The sequence below is a fragment of the Homo sapiens genome, chromosome X (assembly GCF_000001405.40).
Source record: "Homo sapiens chromosome X, GRCh38.p14 Primary Assembly".
NCBI classification, from domain to species: domain Eukaryota; kingdom Metazoa; phylum Chordata; class Mammalia; order Primates; family Hominidae; genus Homo; species Homo sapiens.
In genome coordinates this window covers 154,650,871-154,671,522 of record NC_000023.11, presented here as the reverse complement: position 1 = coordinate 154,671,522, position 20,652 = coordinate 154,650,871, and the positions used below count along the sequence as shown (strand labels likewise).

Sequence of the window (20,652 nt, the reverse complement as noted above, 5' to 3'; positions counted from 1 at the left end):
TTTAGCATGAAGGTTAAAAGACAAAACTATTAAGAATAATGACAATGGGGCTCCATTCCAAGATGGCCTAACAGGAAGAGCTCCGGTCTGCAGCTCCCAGTGTGATCGATGCAGAAGAAGGGTGATTTCAGAATTTCCAACTGAGGCACCTCATTCATCTCATTGGGACTGGTTGGACAGTGGGTGCAGTCCACGGAGGGTGAGCCAAAGCAGGGCAGGGCATCACCTTACCCGGGAAGTGCAATGGGCCAGGGGATTTCCCTTTCCCAGACAAGGGAAGCCATGACAGACTGGACCTGGAAAAACGGGACACTACTGCCCAAATACTGCACTTTCCCCATGGTCTTAGCAACCAGCAGACCAGGAGATTCTCTCCCATGCCTGGCTTGGTGGGTCCCATGCCCACAGAGCCTTGCTCACTGCTAGCGCAGCAGTCTGAGATCAACCTGCGAGGCAGCAACCTGGTGGGGGGAGGGGCATCCGCCATTGCTGAGGCTTGAGTAGGTAAACAAAGCGGCCAGGAAGTTCGAACTGGGCGGAGCCCACCACAGCTCAGCAAGTCCTACTGCCTCTGTAGACTCCACCTCTGTGGGCAGGGCATAGCTGAACAAAAGGCAGCAGAAACTTCTGCAGACTTAAAACGTCCCTGTCTGACAGCTCTGAAGAGAGCAGTGGTTCTCCCAGCACAGCATTTGAGCTCTGAGAACTGACAGACTACCTCCTCAAGTGGGTCCCTGAACCCTGTGTAGCCTAACTGGGAGACACCTCCCAGTAGGGACTGACAGACACCTCATACAGATGGGTGCCCCTCTGAGACAAAGCTTCCAGAGGAAGGACCAGGCAGCAATATTTGCTGTTCTGCAGCCTCCGCTGGTGATACCCAGGCAAACAGGGTATGGAGTGGACCTCCAGCAAACTCCAATAGACCAGCAGCTGAGGGACTTGACTGTTAGAAGGAAAACTAACAAACAGAAAGGAATTGGATCAACATCAACAAAAAGAACATCTACACCAAAACCCCATCTGTAGGTCACCAACATCAAAGACCAAAGGCAAATAAAACCACAAAGATGGGGAGAAACCAGAGCAGAAAAGCTAAAAATTCTAAAAACGAGAGTGCCTCTTCTCCTCCAAAGGATTGCAGCTCCTCGCCAGCAATGGAACAAAGCTGGATGGAGAATGACTTTGACGAGTTGACAGAAGTAGGCTTCAGAAGGTCAGTAATAACAAACTTCTCTGAGCTAAAGGAGCATATTCTAACCCATTGCAAGGAAGCTAAAAACCTTGAAAGAAAGGTTAGATGAATGACTAACTAGAATAAACAGTGTAGAGAAGACCTTAAATGACCTGATGGAGCTGAAAACCATGGCACGAGAACTTCGTGATGCATGCACAAGTTTCAATAGATGATTCCATCAAGTGGAAGAAAGGATATCAGTGATTGAAGATCAAATTAATGAAATAAAGCAAGAAGACAAGTTTAGAGAAAAAAGAGTAAAAAGAAAAGAACAAAACCTCCAAGAAATAATATGGGACTATGTGAAAAGACCAAGTCTAGGCTTGATTGGTGTACCAGAAAGTGACAGGGAGAATGGAACCAAGTTGGAAAACACTCTTCAGGATATTATCCAGGAGAATGTCCCCCCCAACCTAGCAAGGCAGGCCAACATTCAAATTCAGGAAATACAGAGAACACCACAAAGATACTCTTCGAGAAAAGCAAGCCCAAGACACAAATTGTCAGATTCACCAAGGTTGAAATGAAGGAAAAAATGTTAAGGGCAGCCAGAGAGAAAGGTCAGGTTACCCACAAAAGGAAGCTCATCAGACTAACAGCAGATCTCTCAGCAGAAACCTTACAAGCCAGAAGAGAGGGGGCCAATATTCAACATTCTTAAAGAAAAGAATTTTCAACCCAGAATATCATATCCAGCCAAACTAAGCTTCATAAGTGGAGAAATAAAATCCTTTACAGACAAGCAAAAAACATGCCAAATTGTAAAGACCATAGATGCTATGAAGAAACTGAATCAATTAACGGGCAAAATAACCAGCTAACATCATAATAACAGGATCAAATTCACACATAACAATATTAACCTTAAATGTAAATGGGCTAAATGACCCAATTAAAAGACACAGACTGGCACATTGGATAAAGAGTCAAGACCCATCAGTGTGCTGTATTCAGGAACCCATCTCACGTGCAGAGACACACATAGACACAAAATAAAGGGATGGAGGAAATTCTACCAAGCAAATGGAAAGCAAAAAAAAGCAGGGGTTGCAATCCTAGTCTCTGATAAAACATACTTTAAACCAACAAAGATCAAAAGAGACAAAGAAGGCCATTAGATAATGGTAAAGAGATCAATTTAACAAAAAGAGCTAACTATCCTAAATATATATGCACCCAATACAGGAACACCCAGATTCATGAAACAAGTCCTTAGAGACCTACAAAGAGACTTAGACTCCCACACAATAATAATGGGAGACTTTAACACCCCACTGTCAATATTAGACAGATAAGAAAGAAGGTTAACAAGGATATCCAGGACTTGAACTCAGCTTTGCACAAAGAGGACCTAATACACATCTACATAACTCTCCACTCCAAATCAACAGAATATACATTCTTCTCAGCACCACATCGCACTTATTCTAAAATTGACCACATAATTGGAAGTAAAGCACTCCTCAGCAAATGTAAAAGAACAGAAATCATAACAAACTGTCTCTCAGACCACAGTGCAATCAAACTAGAACTCAGGATTGAGAAACTCATTAAAAATCACAAAACTAAATGGAAACTGAACAAACTGCTTCTGAATGACTACTGGGTAAATAACAAAATGAAGGCAGAAATAAAGATGTTCTTTGAAACCAATGAGAAGAAAGACACAATGTACCAGAATCTCTGGGACACATTTAAAACAGTGTGTAGAGGGAAATTTATAGCACTAAATACCCCCAGGGGAAAGCAGGAAAGATCTCAAATCAACACCCTAACATCAAAATTAAAAGAACTAGAGAAGCAAGAGAAAACACATTCAAAAGCTAGCAGAAGGCAATAAATAACTAAGATCAGAGCAGAAGTGAAGGAGATAGAGACGCAAAAAACCCTTCAAAAAATCAATGAATCCAGGAGCTGGATTTTTGAAAAGATCAACAAAATTGATAGACTTCTAGCAAGACGAATAAAGAAGAAAAGGGAAAAGAATCAAATAGACCAGGCGTGGTGGCTCAGGCCTGTAATCTCAGCACTTTGGGAGGCTGAGACGGGCAGATCACGAGATCAGGAGATCGAGACCATCCTGGCTAACACGGTGAAACCCTGTCTCTACTAAAAATACAAAAAAAAAAAAATAGCCGGGTGTGGTAGCAGGCACCTGTAGTCACAGCAACTCAGGAGGCTGAGGCAGGAGAATGGCGTGAATCCAGGAGGCGGAGCTTGCAGTGAGCCGAGATTGCGCCACTGCACTCCAGCCTGAGCGACAGAGTGAGACTCTGTCTCAAAAAGAAAAGAAAAGAAAAGAATCAAATAGACACGATAAAAAATGATAAAGGGGATATCACCACCAATCCCACAGAAATACAAACTACCATCACAGGATACTATAAACACCTCTATGCAAATAGACTAGAAAATCATGGACACACACACCCTCCCAAGACTAAACCAGGAAGAAGTTGAATATCTAAATAGACCAATAACAGGCTCTGAAAATGAGGCAATAATTAATAGCCTACCAACCAAAAAGAGTCCAGGACCAGATGGATTCACAGCCAAATTCTACCAGAGGTACAAAAAGGAGCTAGTACCATTCCTTCTGAAACTATTCCAATCAATAGAAAAAGAGGGAATCCTCCCTAACTCATTTTATGAGGCCAGCATCATCCTGATACCAAAGCCTGGCAGAGACACAACAAAAAAAGAGAATTTTAGACCAATATCCCTGATGAACATCGATGTGAAAATCCTCAATAAAATACTGGCAAACCGAATCCAGCAGCACATCCAAAAGCTTATCCACCATGATCAAGTTGGCTTCATCCCTGGGATGCAAGGCTGGTTCAACATACACAAATCAATAAACGTAATCCATCACATAAACAGAACCAATGACAAAAACCAATGATTATTTCAATAGATGAAGAAAAGGCCTTCAACAAAATTCAACAGCTCTTCATGATAAAAACTCTCAATAAACTAGGTATTGATGGAACATATCTCAAAATAATAAGAGCTATTTATGACAAACCCACAGCCAATATCATACTGAATGGGCAAAAACTGGAAGCATTCCCTTTGAAAACTGGCACATGACAAGGATGCCCTCTCTTACCACTCCTATTAAACATAGTGTTGGAAGTTCTGGCCAGGGCAGTCAGGCAAGAGAAAGAAATAGAGGGTATTCAATTAGGAAAAGAGTAAGTCAAATTGTCCCTTTTTGCAGATGACATGATTGTATATTTAGAAAACCCCATCATCTCATTCCAAAATCTCCTTAAGCTGATAAGCAACTACAGCAAAGTCTCAGGATACAAAATCAATGTGCAAAAATCACAAGCATTCCTATACATCAATAGCAAACAAAAGGAGAACCAAATCATGAGTGAACCCCCATTCACAATTGCTACAAAGAGAATAAAATACCTAGGAATACAACTTACAAGGGATGTGAAGGACCTCTTCAAGAACTACAAACCACTGCTCAACAAAATAAAAGAGGACACAAACAAATGGAAGAATGTTCCATGGTTATGGATAGGAAGAATCAATATCGTGAAAATGGCCATACTGCCCAAGGTAATTTATAGATTCAATGCCATCCCCATCAAGCTACCAATGACTTTCTTCACAGAATTGGAAAAAACTACTTTAAAGTTCACATGGAACCAAAAAAGAGCCTGCATTGCCAAGACAATCATAAGCAAAAAGAACAAAGCTGGAGGCATCATGCTACCTGACTTCAAACTATACTACAAGGCTACAGTAACCAAAACAGCATGGTACTGGTACCAAAACAGAGATATAGACCAATGGAACAGAACAGAGCCCTCAGAAATAATGCCACACATCTACAACCATCTGATCTTTGACAAACCTGACAAAAAGAAGAAATGGGGAAAGGATTCCCTATTTAATAAATGGTGCTGGGAAAACTGGCTAGCCATATGTAGAAAGCTGAAATTGGATCCCTTCCTTACACCTTATACAAAAATTAACTCAAGATGGATTAAAGACTTAAATGTTAGACCTAAAACCAAAAAATCTCTAGAAGAAATCCTAGGCAGTACCACTCAGGACATAGGCATGGGCAAGGACTTCATGACTAAAACACCAAAAGCAATAGCAACCAAAGCCAAAATTGACAAATGGGATCTAATTAAACTAAAGAGCTTCTGCACAGCAAAAGAAACAACCATCAGTGTGAACAGGCAACCTACAGAATGGGAGAAAATGTTTGCAATCTACCCATCTGACAAAGGGCTAATATCCAAAATCTACAAAGAACTTAAACAAATTTACAACAAACAACCCCATCAAAAAGTAAGCAAAGGATATGAACAGACATATCTGAAAAGAAGACATCTATGCAGCCAACAGACACATGAAAAAATGCTCATCATCACTGGTCATCAGAGAAATGCAAATCAAAACCACAATGAGATACTATCTCATGTCAGTTAGAATGGCGATCATTACAGTGTCAGGAAACAACAGATGCTGGAGAGGATGTGGAGAAATAGGAACTCTTTTACACTGTTGGTGGGAGTGTAAATTAGTTCAACTATTGTGGAAGACACTGTGGCGATTCCTCAAGGATCTAGAACTAGAAATACCATTTGACCCAGCGATCCCATTACTGGGTATATACCCAAAGGATTATAAATCATCCTGCTATAAAGACACATGCACACATATGTTTATTGTGGCACTATTCACAATAGCAAGGACTTGGAACCAACCCAAATGTCCATCAATTATAGACTGGATTAAGAAAATGTGGTACATATACACCATGGAATACTATGCAGCCATAAAAACGGATGAGTTCTTGTCCTTTTCAGGGACGTGGATGAAGCTGGAAACCATCATTCTCAGCAAACTATCACAAGGATAGAAAACCAAACACCGCATGTTCTCACTCATAGGTGGGAATTGAACAATGAGAACACTTGGACACAGGATGGGGAACATCACACACCAGGGCCTGTTGTGGGTTGGGGGGCTGGGGGAGGGATAGCATTAGGAGAAATACCTGAGGTAAATGACTAGTGAATGGGTGCAGCAAACCAACATGGCACATGTATACCTATGTAACAAACCTGCACGTTGTGCACATGTACCCTAGAACTTAAAGTGTAATAATTAAAAAAGAATAACGACAATGGTTTATTTTAAAATATGCAATATGAAAAGTTGTAAATTGTAACATGAAAAACTCAAAATGTGGGCTAGATGCAGTGGCTGCCACCTGTAATGCCAGAATTTTGTGCTGAAGTGGAAGGATTGCTTGAGCTCAAGAGTTCAAGACCGCACTGGGCATCATGAGGATACCTCGTCTGTAGTAAAAAGAAAAAAAATTACCTCGGCATGGTGGCTTGTGCTTGTAATCCCAGCCTCTGGGGAGATTGAGGCAGGAGGATCACTTGAGCCCTGTTGGTCGAGGCTACAGTGAGCTGTGATCATGCCACCTCACTATAACCAGGTCAACAGTGAGTTCCTGTCTCAAAAAAATGTGTGTGGAGGGAGTGGAGTAAATGTGCAGAGGTTTTTATTTTTGTGATCTAAGTTGTTACCAGCTTAAAATAACCTGTTATAACTTTAAGATGTTTCTTTTAAGCCTCATGGTAACCACAAAGCAAAAAGCTATAACAGATAAACAAAAAATAAAAGACAACGAACCAAAACATACTACGAGAGTGATCACTTAACCACAAAGAAAATCAGTAGGAGAGGAGAAAAGGGAGAATCGACAAAGCAACTAGAGAACAATTAACAAAATGGCAGTAGTAAGTTCTTACTTATCAATAATTACCTTGAATGTAAATGGGATATATTGTCCAATCAAATGACATAGACTAGCTAAATGGATTTAAAAATTAAGACGCAGACATTTGCTACCTACAAGGGACTCATTTCACCTGTAAAGACACATAGAGTCAAAGTGAAGGGATGAAAAAAGATATTCCACGCAAATGAAAACACAAAGAGAGCAGGAATAGCTATAGTTACATGAGATAAAATAGACATTAAGTCAAAACCTCTAGAAAGAGACAAAGAAAATCACTATGTAATGATAAAGTGGTCATTTCAACAAAAGGGTATAACAATTGTAAACATATGTGCACTCAATATTAGAGCACCTAAATATATAAAAGAAATATTAATTAATCTGAAAAAGAGACAGACTGCAATACAATAATACTAGGGGACTTTAACAACCCTCTTTCAGTAATGGACAAATCATCAAGACAGAAATAAATAAGCAAACAACAAGCATATACTACACTCTAGAGCAAATGGACCTAACAGATATATACAGAAAAATCCATCCAGTAGCTGCAGAATACACTCTCTTCTCAACTGCACATGGAACATTCACTGAGATATATAGTATGTTGTGCCACCAAAGAAGTCTTAACAAATTCAAGAAGACTGAAATCATATCAAGTATCTTTTCTGATCACAAAATGGTATAAAACTAGAAAATGAGGGACTTCGGATAATCCACACATATATCTGTATTAGTATGTTCTCACACTGCTGGAAAGACATGCCCAAGACTGGGTAATTTATAAGGAAAAGAGGTTTAACTGACTCACAGTTCTGCATGGCTGGGGAGGCCTCAGGAAATGGTGGAAGGGGAAGCAGGCACATCTTACATGGTGGCAGGTGAGAAAGAGTGAGTAAGAGCAGGGAAAACTGCCTTACAAAACCATCAGATCTTGTGAGAACTTGTTAGCAGTGGCAGAAATTTGAGTTACCCCATGTTACTGTTGGCCTATCTGTATGGGTCCGTAGCAACTTCAGCCCTTGCCTCCTCAGAAGAAAGAATTCGACTGCAGGGCATAAAGCAGTAAAAGAGACCGAGGCAAGTTCCAGAGCAGGAATGGAAGTTTATTTTAAAATGCCTTACAACAGGAAAGCAAGGTGCACTTGGAAGAGACCCAAGGGGGCACATGAAGGTTTAATTAAAGAGAGAAGGTCAAATGCCCTGTTTAACTGTGATCCTAGGACATTTATAAGCTTACCTCTTTCCCATGATTATTCCCTTAGGGTGGGCTGCCCACATGCATAGAGCCCTCCTTACCCTTGGGAAGTGAGCATGCCCAGTGTGTCTAGGGAGTTATACATGCATGCCCACCTGAGGCTTTCTTCCTTTCTCCAGTGGAAGATCATACTTCACCATTTTTGTCTCTTACTATGCATGCCCAGAAAGTTTCTTCTCCCTGGGGCCTGCATCCAATTAACATTTTGATGTTAACAGGTGTGGACCATCAGGAAATGGCCTGTCCCCCTGGCATGGTCAGATTATCACTCTCGGAGAGGCAACATAATAATTGGTGAACCATCACCCAGCATTTCTGGTGGATGGGTGAATGCCATTCTAGTGAATGGGGACTCTCTATGTGTGCTCCAACCCCACATATCCCTTCTACACTGCCCTAGCAGAGGTTCTCCATGAGGGCTTAGCCCCTACAGCAGACTTCTGCCTGGATGTCCAGGTGTTTCCATGCATCCTCTGAAATCTAGGCGGAGATTCCCCAACCTCACTTCTTGACTTTCGTGAATTCACAGGCCCCATACCACATGGAAGCCACCAAGTTTTGGGGCTTGCACCCTCTGAAGCCACTGCCTGAGCTATACTTTGGCCCCTTGTAGCCCCAGCTGCAGCTGGTGCAGCTGGAATGCAGAACACCAAGTCCCAAGACTTCATAGAGCAGCAGAGGCCCTGGACCCGACCCAGGAAACCATTTTTCCCTTCTAAGCTTCTGGGTCTGTGATGGGGGGGAGCTGCTGCCAAGATCTACGACATGCCCTGGAGACATTTTCCCAATTGTTTTGGTGATTAACATTTGGCTCCTCCAGCATCAGGATAAATAGCTAATGTAGGCAGGGCTTAATACCTAGGTGATGTGTTGATAGGTGTAGCAAACCACCATGGCACACGTTTACCTATGTAACAAACCTGCACATCCTGCACATGTATCCCAGAACTTAAAATAAAATAAAAATTTTTTAAAAAGCCTCCTCATTACTTATGCTAATTTCTGCAGCTGACTTGAATTTCTCCCAAGAAAATGGGTTTTTCTTTTGTACCGCATCATCAAGCTGCAACTTTTCGAAACTTTTATGCTCTGCTTCCCTTTTAAACGTAAGTTTCAGTTTCAGATCATCTCTCTCAAGTTCAAACTTCCACAGATCTCTGGGTCAGGGGTAAAATGCCTCCTGTCTCTTTGCTAAAGCATAGCAAGAGTGACCTTCGCTCTAGTTTCTAAGAAGTTCCTCATCTCCATATGAGACCACCACAGCCTGTACTTCATTGTCCATAATACTATCAACATTTTGGTCAGCCGGGCACGGTGGCTCACGCCTGTAATCCCAGCACTTTGGGAGGCCAAGGCAGGTGGATCATGAGGTCAGGAGATGAAGACCATCCTGGCTAACACAGTGAAACCCCGTCTCTACTAAAAATACAAAAAATTAGCCAGGTGAGGTGGCAGGCGCCTGTAGTCCCAGCTACTCGGGAGGCTGAGGCAGGAGAATGGTGTGAACCCCGGGGCCAGAGCCTGCAGTGAGCCGAGATCGCGCTACTGCACTCCAGCCTGGGCGACAGCTAGACTCCGTCTCAAAAAAAAAAAAACATTTTGGTCAAAGCCATTCAACAAGTCTCTAGGAAGTTCCAAGGTTTCCCACATCTTCCTGTCTTCTTCTGAGTGCTCCAAACTGTTCCAACCTCTGCCCAATACCCAGTTCCAAAGTTACTTCCACATTTTCAGGTATCTTTATAGTAGTGCCCCATTCTCTGCAGTACCAGTTTACTATATTAGTCTGTTCCCACACTACTATAAATATACTACCCAAGGCTGCGTAATTCATAAACAAAAGAGGTTTGATTGACTCACAGTTCTGTGTGGCTGGGGAAGCCACAAGAAACTTACAATAATGGCGGAAGGCAAAGGAGAAGCAGGCACCTCTTTGTAAGGCAGCAGGAGAGAGAAGAGAGAGTGAAGGAGGAACTTCCAAATTCTTATAAAACCATCACGTCTCGTGAGAATTCACTCACTATGAGGAGAACAGCATGGGAGAAACTTCCCCAATGATCCATTCACCTCTCACTCAGTCCCTCCCTTAACACATGGGGATTATGGGGATTACAATTTGAATCGAGATTTGGTTGGGGACAGAGAGCCAAACCTTATTAATATCTAAATTTAAAAATATGCTTCTGAACAATCAATGGATCAATTAAGAAATTAAAAGGGAAATTTAAACATTCCCTGGGAGTAAGGAAATTGGAAAAAAATATCAAAACCTATGGAATACAGGAAAACCAGTTCTAACAGGGAAGTTTATAGCAATAAATGCGTACACCAAAAAGAAGAAATATCTCAAATAAATGACCTAATGTTGCATTTCAAGAAACTAGAATCACAAGAACAAAGTAAGCACAACATTAGTAGAAGGAAAGAAATTACAAAGATATAGCCTTATGTGATATGTAGAACACGAACTCTAGCTATGAAGCACCTACCCAGTGTGGTAACAGTAGTCACTCTGTTGGTTGTCGGGGGAGTGTGCATGTGTAAACTTTCACTCCATCTCAGTCATTTCTGCAGTGTTGAATTACTTTCCACGGGGTCAGATTATCTGGGGAATGAAAGCAAAGACTTAAGTTGGCTACAACTGAAGGGAAGCCAGCCTGGTCTGACCCCTCGACTCATGCTCCGGCCTAGGTGCAGAGGGCCCTGTGGTTTTGGCTCCGGTTCTCTGGCTGCAGGTTCCTCCTGAACAGGCCTAAGAAGAGAAGAATGCTGCCTGCAGAGGGCAAAGTGTCGGAGAACAGGACGTAGATACGGTGTCAGCCCCAGGGGTAGGCTCTCTGTGGGGACCTTGCTCGGTGAGATGCTCCCTCAAGCCACAAGCCACTCCAGACACCAGGCACCCTCTTCCTCCCCCAACACCTTCCTCACAGACAAGACAGGTTGGTGTCTTTTGTCCTGATGTCTTTGAGCTGACAGACCTAGTTTTGGACACATAGATAGGTAGGTATGCACGAGCTGGTGGCCGCAGGCTTCCACACAGCTTGGGCTGACTCTGCAAACAGGGAGACTGGAGACACAGCTACGGGAAGGATGACACAACATGGTCTTCACCACACCGAGGCTGATCTGGGTACTTCTGCCGTGTACCCAACGTAAAGCAACGCTTATTAGGTTGTCACCTCAAGGGGAGCAGCCAGCTGCCTGGTGGAAAGTGGATTATATTGGACCCATTCTCTCATTCAGGGAGCAGGAGGATTTTTGTCCCAGGAATAGAGACATTTTCTGTATATGTATCTGCCCTCCCACCTGCCACAGTTTTGCCAGCAAAGCCATCTATGGATACCCTAAAGGCTGATCCCCATCACTTTCTCCCAAAAAAGGTTCTGTTCAACAGGAGATGAAAGATTTGCCTGGCCATTTGAGGCTCCTCATTGTATTGAACCAACAAGTCTTCCTCCATTAAATCTGAAACCTGCCTACCTAGTCATTAGTCCATCCCTCATCCCCTCCCCCCCTTGTAAGTTGGGACTCCACACCTAGACCCTCATCTGACTCTGAGTTGCATACTACAGGTGCAGGGTTCTGTGCGTGGTTCCAAGCAGCTGCGGAATGGGACCCTAGTGTCCCAGTTTCTTCTGAAAGGCCTGAGGGACAGCAAGGCTTGGAGGCCCCTGCTGTTCACCACCTTTCTGCTAATCTACATAGTGGTTGTGGTTGGGAGCCACATGTTCACAGTGGACTACCGACGCCACACTCCCATGTACTTCTTCTTGGGCGGCCACTCGCTGATGGATGCCGCCTGTATCTCCAACATGGTGACTCAGGTGCTGGTGCATTTGCTGGCTCAGGTAGGGCCCGTACTTTATTGTGCTTGTCTCATCCAGATATGCTTTCTCCACTTCCTGGCACCCTAGGAGTCCTTCCTCCTCACAGCCGTGGCCTATGATTCTATGCAGCTATCTGCCAGCCATTGCACTACTTTGTCCTCGTGGGCCGACTGACCCACACGGGCCTCACTTCCATCTCCTGCCTGCTGGCCTTGGCCAACGCATTCACCTACAGCATCCTCACAGCTCTACCCAAGTTCTGCAGGCCTTGCCTCATCACCCACTTCTTCTGCGACCTCCGTCACTGCTCAGACTCTCTTGCTTCAGCACACGTACCAATGAACTTGCCCTGTTCTTCAGTTTTCTGGTGGCTCTTGCACACTGCGTCCTGGTCGTGGTCTCCTATGGACACGTTGTGGCTGCTGTTCAGGATTCATTCCACCCAGGGCTGAAGAAAAGCCTTTTCTACCTGTGTTGCCCATCTCACTATGATCGGTCTTTTCTACGTCACTTCAGTCCCCTGCTACATCCTTCCCAACTCTGCATACTCTGGCTTGGGCGACTGGGTGCTCTCTGTGCTATGTGTGGTCCTCACTCACATGCTAAACCCCATCTTCCCCAGCATGCTGGGATGACAGGCATGAGCCACCGCACCGGCCAGGAAATATTTCTTGAAAGAAAGAATGAGAGAGTACCTCGTGTCTCCCCATTATGGGGTTTGGCACTGGGGATACAGAAAAGCTCCAGACAAGCTTCCTGCCTTTATGGAGCTCACAAAGTAGGCTGGGCTATTAGGCACTAAGACAATTCACTGTCATACAATGGTTACTCGCCATTCCTTCACAGGAAAGGGTCACTCACCCCTACCACCAAACCTAGGAACGGCCACATGCTGCTCAAAGGGTCAACACAGCTGCCTTTCACTGTTCTCAAGTGATGGCGGGTGGGCGCTCAGAGAAGACCAAAGGCTCAAGGCCAGGACACTAGGCCATCCGGGGCTTCCCAACAGACCCCCATCCCGAGTCCCGCACAAGAGCCTGCAATGACCCCCACAGGGCGAAACAAGCCGTGCTCATCAGCCCTGGTAGGTATGGCTGGGCCCTCCCCCTGGGCCATATGAGGCCAGCCTACATCATCCCCACTTAGACCGCCCCACTCAGGCCAAATTCCTAGGAAAGGGGCCGGGAATCTGTGTAGACCGGGGGAGATTGTTCTCATCATATAGGTGAGAGATGATGCCGACCTGGCCTAGGGAGGGTGGAGAGGACACATTGAAGGAAACTGACTGGACGGAAGGTGAGATGACAGAGTGCGGGACCATGGAAACGCGTGTCGCCAAGACAGAGAATGAAGCAGAGGGAAGCCATTCCGGGAGTCGGGGGACAGGCAGTGAGGTCAGCTGGGGGCAGGTTGGGTTGGAAGTACCTACAGGCCATCCAAGCTCACATGACTGTGCTGGTTTGAAACTCTGGAATTCAAGCAAAGAGATCCCTGCTTAACTTTAATTCAATGGCCCTCTTTGAATATAGACATCCTGGCCCTGTCACCTCTGAAGCTTCACCATTCCAGATGATGCCTAATGTGATTTCAAATACATTTCATCCATTCCAAGCAAGTCTTCTCTGATTCGGAAACACAAAGACTGTCTGCCAGCGTGTGTGGACCAGGACCGGCCCTCTGGAGGGGAGGGGCTGTTATGGGCCTCGGTAGGTTTTGTGTTTAAGCACACATGTGTTCTTCATGAGTACCTCCAAGGTGCAGAAGAAAAAAAAAATCTCAGTGTGTAATAGTGACAAAATGCTGATGAAGCAAACTATCAACAGCCCTCTGGAGGAATAACTTTCAAGGTAGGATGAACTGTGTGTGTGGAATTTGGAAACAATTGTTTTTTGGAAGCGGCTGAAAGCCACAGAGATGACCAGGAGAGCCGGGCGACATCTGCCCCGTGGTGTCTAGCGTGGGCCCCGAGGCTCGGTGACTTCAGAGACTTCATCACGGCACCGTCCGCCTCATTACATCAAGAAAAGGTGCCAATTAGAACAAGTTTCAGAGGAAAAATATGGCCTCCAATGAATTGAACAGGCTAATTTAAACTTTGGCAAACTGGCTCACTCCAGAGCTAATTAGAAATTTTCCTCAACAGCAAGTAATGAATAACTTTCTTAATCGCTTTCTGCTTATAAATGTAATACATGTTCACTGCAAAAGAAGAGGAAATATGGGCAAGTTCGGAAGAGAAAATAAAAAACCAACCGTTATCTCACCGCCAAGGATAACGACAATGAAAATGTGGTGTATTTCTGGATAAATGAGCCAATTCTTGTCTAGTGCTTACAACAGTGGCTTGGGACATGGTGACCACCCAACAAATGTTATTGGTTATTATTATTCTCATTGCTAGTAGGCTTAGAAAAGTCTTTTCCAATGCTATCCCTCCCCCAGCCCCCCACCCCCAACAGGCCCCGGTGTGTGATGTTCCCCTCCCTGTGTCCACATTGTTCAACTCCCACTTACGAGTGAGAACATGCGGTGTTTGGTTTTCTGTTCCTGTGTTAATTTGCTGAAAATGATGGTTTCCAGCTTCATCCATGTCTCTGCAAACGACATGAACTCATTCTCTTTCATGGCTGCATATATTTCATGGTGTATATGTGCCACAGTTTTAAAATCCAGTCTAACATTGATGGGCATTTGGGTTGGTTCCAAGTCTTTGCTATTGTGAAGAGTGCTGCAATAAACATACATGTGCATGTGTCTTTATAGTAGAATGATTTACAATCCTTTGGGTATATACCCAGTAATGGGATTGCTAGGTCAACAAGTTGATGGGTGCAGCAAACCAGCATGGCACATGTATACCTATGTAACAAACCTGCACGTTGTGCACATGTACCCCAGCACTTAAGGTATAATAATGAAAAAAAGGAAAGAAAAGAAAGAAAGAAAGAAAAGGAGAGAAAGAAAGAAAGAAAGAGAGAAAAGTCTTTTCCATTCCAACAATCAAATAAAGTTCATCTAAATTTTCTTCCAATGTTTTTACTTTTATTGTGTATATATTAGGTCAATACATTCTAAACACTTCAGATACTATAGAAATATTTCTCTATATAGCATTCCCCCGTGCTTCTACTGAGATATGTATCGGCAGCCTGAGAAGTCGGCATTCCTTTGTCCACACCCATCCCCGTGCATCCGTTTCATTTCATTCGCTCCACAGTCAGCCGCACCTCAGAGTTGTCCTTCAAAGGGTGAGAGACTAAGACTTTTATCCAGTGACTCTTGGCCCCATCGGTGGGGGGCTGTGTCCAAGGGTACAACTTCCCCAGAGCTTCCAGGCCCACCCTGTGCAGGGCGCAGGAGAAAAAGCAGATGTGTTGTGAGCTGCAGGAGAGGCGCTGGCACAGGGCACAGAGGTCCCCACCCCAGCAGCCGAGAGGCAGAAGGCACGTGCAGGGGGCCCAGAGGCTCAGCAGGATCTGAGATGTGAGAAGATGTCTACGAACACAGAGGCGCAGGAGGAGGCCGGAGATGACGGTCACTGGAGGGGCTCTGAGACGTGCACAGAAAACAGGACAGAGCTTGGCAGCAGCACTCATTTGTCGCCCTGCCACACACAGCCTGTGTTTTCTCCTTGACAGCATCTCAGTAGGACCCAATAATGCCAACGCCTGGAGATCCCTCTGGACAACCGTCTTCATCCTCCACATCTGGTCCTCCCCTACACCTGGGGCCTGGACCTGCTAAGGAGCTCTTTCCAGTTTTCTAGACACCTGTGGAATCCCTTCACCCACCCTTACCCATCGGTGTGGCTGCTCTCCAGCTCACTCTCGTCCTGCTCTCCCCAACTGCCTCGGCTCCAGGGGGACGAGGCTTTCCCTGGGCTGCTGCCTTCCCTGCCCCCTTCCCAGTCCCCAGAAGGGTGCCAGCCTCAGAGGCCTCCAGAGCAGAGCCTTGCTCACCGCAGCAGCTCCAGCTGGAGGAGGTTCCCCCTGCCTCCTGCACCCTGACCCCTTCTTAGAGCAGCAGAGGCAGAAGCAGGAGCCTGCTTTGGAAAATGACATGTTTTTATTGCTATGTCTGCAGTGGCTTTTTAGCACAGTAGAATGTCCCCGCAGGCCCGCCACCCTCACCCAGCCCCAGCCCTGCAGCCTCTGTCTGGGTGTCGGGGAAGCCTTTCTTGGGGTCACTCAGCCGTCTGAGGACTGGATGTGGCACAGACATACATAGGTTAAAGCTGCTACACGGAAGACTGGAGATGCGGGAAGTGCATTCGCTTTAAGCCTAGAGGTGGTAGCCGTGTCCGGGGTCCCTTCCTGGGGGTGTGCCTGTTACCGAAATACCAAGGGTTTGGTCTACGTCCTGCTGCTGGCCGCACAGAAAGCCAATGACTGACTGAGACGAAGAGCATTACCAGGGAAGACGGCTTTAATTGGGTGCTGCAGCCGGGGAGATGGGAGTTAAGTCTCAAATCCATCCCCCTGACTAAAACTAGGGGTTTATATAGCCAGGAAGAAATGCACCAATGTGTAGGAAAACAGGAACTCGGGAGGGCCCAGAAAGCAATCCTGATGAATTTGGGGGGTCCAGCATCTCATTGTCTGGATGTGGTTATCTGGTGAGTTTCAGTTCTTTGATATTTTGAGAGGCCCGAAGGTCATTTCCTGAGGAAGGAATTCAGATAAAACAACTGTAAGGTTCAAGCTTGAAGACCAGAAGGGTCAGTTTCTATGTGTATCAAAAAGAACAGCCTATGGGACGATTGGATCGGTTTCATGCCCAACCCAGGGTACAGGATGTGGGAAGCCTGAGCCGGCCTGGTGAGCAGCCCAGACACCCGGGATGGAGTATTGCAGCCTCTCGCCCCACAGACTTGTGAACAGGGCGTGGGGACAGACACCCAGCTCCTAGGGCCATGCCACCCCCACCCCTGCCCGCCTCTCGCAGCACCTTTCCTGTGGATCTGACCCCCTTCCAGACACAGAAGTAAGCCAGCACCCAGCAGACACAGGGTCACCTCCCAGCTCCCTACCAGGCAAGAGCGACCAGGGCAGGGACTGATACTGCCGAACCCAGGAGCCAGGCCCGACCCAGCCTCAGGTCCAGCAGGTCCCGCCTGTCCACCTGGGCCAGGCCTAGAGCCCGGGAGCCCCTGGCTGGTGGGAGGCCACCCGCAACCCACCCCACACGCAGCTCCAGCTCCCCCACCAGGCGGGGCGACTAGGACAGGGACAGAACCCGTTGAACCCAGGAGTGAGATCCGGCCCCGGGTCCCGCTGGGCCCTCCCGTCCACCTTGGCTGGACCTGGCGCCTGGGAGACCTTGGCTGGCGCGAGGCCACGCCCACCAGACATGCAGTTCCAGCTACCCCACCAGCTGGGCGACCAGGACAGGGACGGAGGCTGCTGAGCCCAGTTAGAGGCCTGCCCCCCGGGGTCTGTCCTGGGCGCTCCCCCAAGGACGGACAGGGCAGACAGGGTCCGGGACGATGGCCGCACAGTCCCGGCCCCGTGTTCCCAGGCCCGTCTTGCTCCTCGATGTGAGGGAGACCCGGGGGATGGGACAGGCTGGGCCCCGCAGTGCCTGACTCCCTGCAGGGCTCCCGGGACAGGGGTCCGGCGGACAGCCGGCTGCTCAGGGGTGAGGGGTCCAAGCTGGCATTGCGGCCACCTTCCGGCCCGGGCTCTCTTGGGGAGGGGCGGGGTTGGTGAGAACCGGTCACGTGCTCCGGGGCTCACTCGGGGTCTCCCAGGGCCGGAAGTAGGGCCCCTGTGCGCAGGCGCCCTGAGGATCCCGGGCTGCCCATCTCACGCCAGGGGGCGGAACTTCCTGCAGCCTCTCTGCCTCCGCATCCTCGTGGGCCCTGACCTTCTCTCTGAGAGCCGGGCAGAGGCTCCGGAGCCATGCAGGCCGAAGGCCGGGGCACAGGGGGTTCGACGGGCGATGCTGATGGCCCAGGAGGCCCTGGCATTCCTGATGGCCCAGGGGGCAATGCTGGCGGCCCAGGAGAGGCGGGTGCCACGGGCGGCAGAGGTCCCCGGGGCGCAGGGGCAGCAAGGGCCTCGGGGCCGAGAGGAGGCGCCCCGCGGGGTCCGCATGGCGGTGCCGCTTCTGCGCAGGATGGAAGGTGCCCCTGCGGGGCCAGGAGGCCGGACAGCCGCCTGCTTGAGTTGTATCCTGTTCTGTTCTGTTCTAGGAGGTTCTGGTGGCGAGGTGGGGGCCGTGAGACGGAGACAACAGGGTCAAGAGGTGGGGGGCAGGGCCAGGAGGTGGGTGAGGGCAGGGCCAGGTGCGGAAGGTGGGGTTTGGGAGATGGGGGTAAGGCGCCGGGTGGGGTGGGGGTGGGGGCTGGGAGTTGGAGGTCGAGGGGTGGCTCAGAGGAAGGGAGTAGGTAGGGGATGGGAGGTGGAGCGTGTGCACAGTTGGGTGCTGGGCGATGGGGTGAGGGGCAGGGGGACAGGAGACAGGGGTTCTTGGGTGTGTGAAGGGATCAGGAGTTGGGGGGAAGCGTGCAAGGTGGGAGCCGGTGGCTGGGGTGTGGGCTGGATGGGGGTGGTGTCAAGCGATGGGGAGAGGTCCCGGCTGATGCGGCAGGGGGCATGGTGGGGAGGGCCTTGGAAGGGCACGCAGGAGTCAGCTTGAGGTGCAACAGAGGAAAGTGGGGAATCAAGACAGCTGGGTGGGGTTGCTGCAGGACCTGGGCCAGTGCGTGGGGAGACAGCCTGAGGGGATGAGATGGGCACCGGCCAAATCCTAGGAGATGGCACCTTAACTGGGTCCCCACCAGGCACATCACGATGCCTTTCTCGTCGCCCATGGAAGCGGAGCTGGTCCGCAGGATCCTGTCCCGGGATGCCGCACCGCTCCCCCGACCAGGGGCGGTTCTGAAGGACTTCACCGTGTCCGGCAACCTACTGTTTATGTCAGTTCGGGACCAGGACAGGGAAGGCGCTGGGCGGATGAGGGTGGTGGGTTGGGGGCTGGGATCCGCCTCCCCGGAGGGGCAGAAAGCTAGAGATCTCAGAACACCCAAACACAAGGTCTCAGAACAGAGACCTGGTACACCAGGCCCGCCGCCACCCGAGGGAGCCCAGGGAGATGGGTGCAGAGGTGTCGCCTTTAATGTGATGTTCTCTGCCCCTCACATTTAGCCGACTGACTGCTGCAGACCACCGCCAACTGCAGCTCTCCATCAGCTCCTGTCTCCAGCAGCTTTCCCTGTTGATGTGGATCACGCAGTGCTTTCTGCCCGTGTTTTTGGCTCAGGCTCCCTCAGGGCAGAGGCGCTAAGCCCAGCCTGGCGCCCCTTCCTAGGTCATGCCTCCTCCCCTAGGGAATGGTCCCAGCACGAGTGGCCAGTTCATTGTGGGGGCCTGATTGTTTGTCGCTGGAGGAGGACGGCTTACATGTTTGTTTCTGTAGAAAATAAAGCTGAGCTACGATTCCGTGTCTGAGTCTCTTTTCGGCGAGCGAAGGCACCTTCGGACTTGCATGCCCTTGTCCTCGGGTTGTAGGGGAGGCTCTGGGATTCACAGATTGAAGTAGCACAAGGTAACGGGAGGCAATTTGGGAAATGGGGGAAAATGAAAAGCCACTGGGTCCCGCCATTCAGCATTAACTACTGTGGACATTTTAGAATATTTTCCTCAATATACTTGCATTTATATGTTAAATATATGACAGTAGCATATATAATGTTTTTCCAGGTCAGCATTAAATTTTTTCCCAAATTGTTTTCATTGAACATATGAGCTTTTGTGCTTTCTAAAAATGCTTCAAAAACATGTACTTGAATAGATGCATAAAACCAGCATTATTTCACTGTTAAACATGTGATATGGGCCGGGCATGGTGGCCCACACCTGTATTCCCATTGTTCTGGGAGGCTCAGGTGGGAGGATGGCTTGAGACCTGCAGTTGGAGGCCACCCTGGGCAATGTAGTGAGATTCTATCTCTATAAGAATCATTTAAAAATTAGGGGTGGAGGGAGTGGTGGCAGGAACCTGTAGTCCCAGGTACTCAGGAGGCTGACGTGGGAAAGTGGCTTGAGTCCAGGATCTCGAGGCTGCAGTGAGCTATGAATGCATCCCTGAGCTCCAGCCTTGGCGACAGAGCGAGACCCTGACTCTAAAGTAATAATAATAGTAAATGTGAACAGCGTAAAATGTTTGTAAACACGTAATGTTAACACAGATTCTCTTACTGCTTGCAGAGTCTAATGAACAAGAGCAAGGTTTCCTGTAAAGAAACTGACTTTCTGCCATGCTTGGTTTAGGGGAAGACGTACAGGCTCCTGCCTTTAAGAGCACTGCTTCCCATTGGGGGCAGAAAGCAGGGCCTTTTAAAGGAGGACTTGGCGTGAATGGTAGGCAGGGGAGGGAGCAGGCAGCTGTGGGGTCTGCATGACATGCTGAGGTGTCTTGTCTGCCGGGAGGTCACGCTGGCACCATCTTGGGCAGAGCTAGGTTGGAAAGGGGCTGTTTGTCAAAGCAAAACAGACATATGCTTGAGCTGTGTTCTGGGATGCTCTTAAGTTGCTCGGAGACA

At 47.8% G+C, this 20,652-nt stretch overlaps 1 protein-coding gene, 1 long non-coding RNA gene and 1 pseudogene across 3 annotated transcripts; 2 read left to right on the top strand and 1 right to left on the bottom strand.

Annotated features, from left to right (window-relative positions):
- OR3B1P (olfactory receptor family 3 subfamily B member 1 pseudogene) lies at positions 11,862-12,790 on the top strand (annotated as a pseudogene).
- Positions 16,154-17,788, bottom strand: LOC105373387 (uncharacterized). The gene is made up of 2 exons (XR_938543.3): positions 16,519-17,788; positions 16,154-16,432 (listed from the first exon to the last, which is right to left on the bottom strand). It is a non-coding gene; the product is annotated as an uncharacterized LOC105373387 (long non-coding RNA).
- CTAG2 (cancer/testis antigen 2) lies at positions 17,944-19,546 on the top strand. Of its 2 annotated transcripts, NM_172377.5 has the most exons (3): positions 17,944-18,276; positions 18,892-19,026; positions 19,256-19,546. In NM_172377.5, the coding sequence occupies exons 1-3, from the start codon at positions 18,008-18,010 to the stop codon at positions 19,392-19,394; spliced, it is 543 nt and encodes a 180-aa protein (NP_758965.2). In that variant the 5' UTR covers positions 17,944-18,007; the 3' UTR covers positions 19,395-19,546. The 2 variants fall into 2 exon arrangements, with proteins under 2 accessions (NP_758965.2, NP_066274.2); NM_020994.5 differs by having other exon boundaries at positions 18,892-19,546.

Coding starts and splice junctions, on each gene's coding strand:
- CTAG2 (NM_020994.5), top strand. CDS start 18,008: ATGCAGGCCGAAGGCCGGGGCACAGGGGGTTCGACGGGCGATGCTGAT. Junction 18,277..18,891: donor GACAGCCGCCTGCTTGAGTT/GTATCCTGTTCT, acceptor GGTCCCCACCAG/GCACATCACGATGCCTTTCT.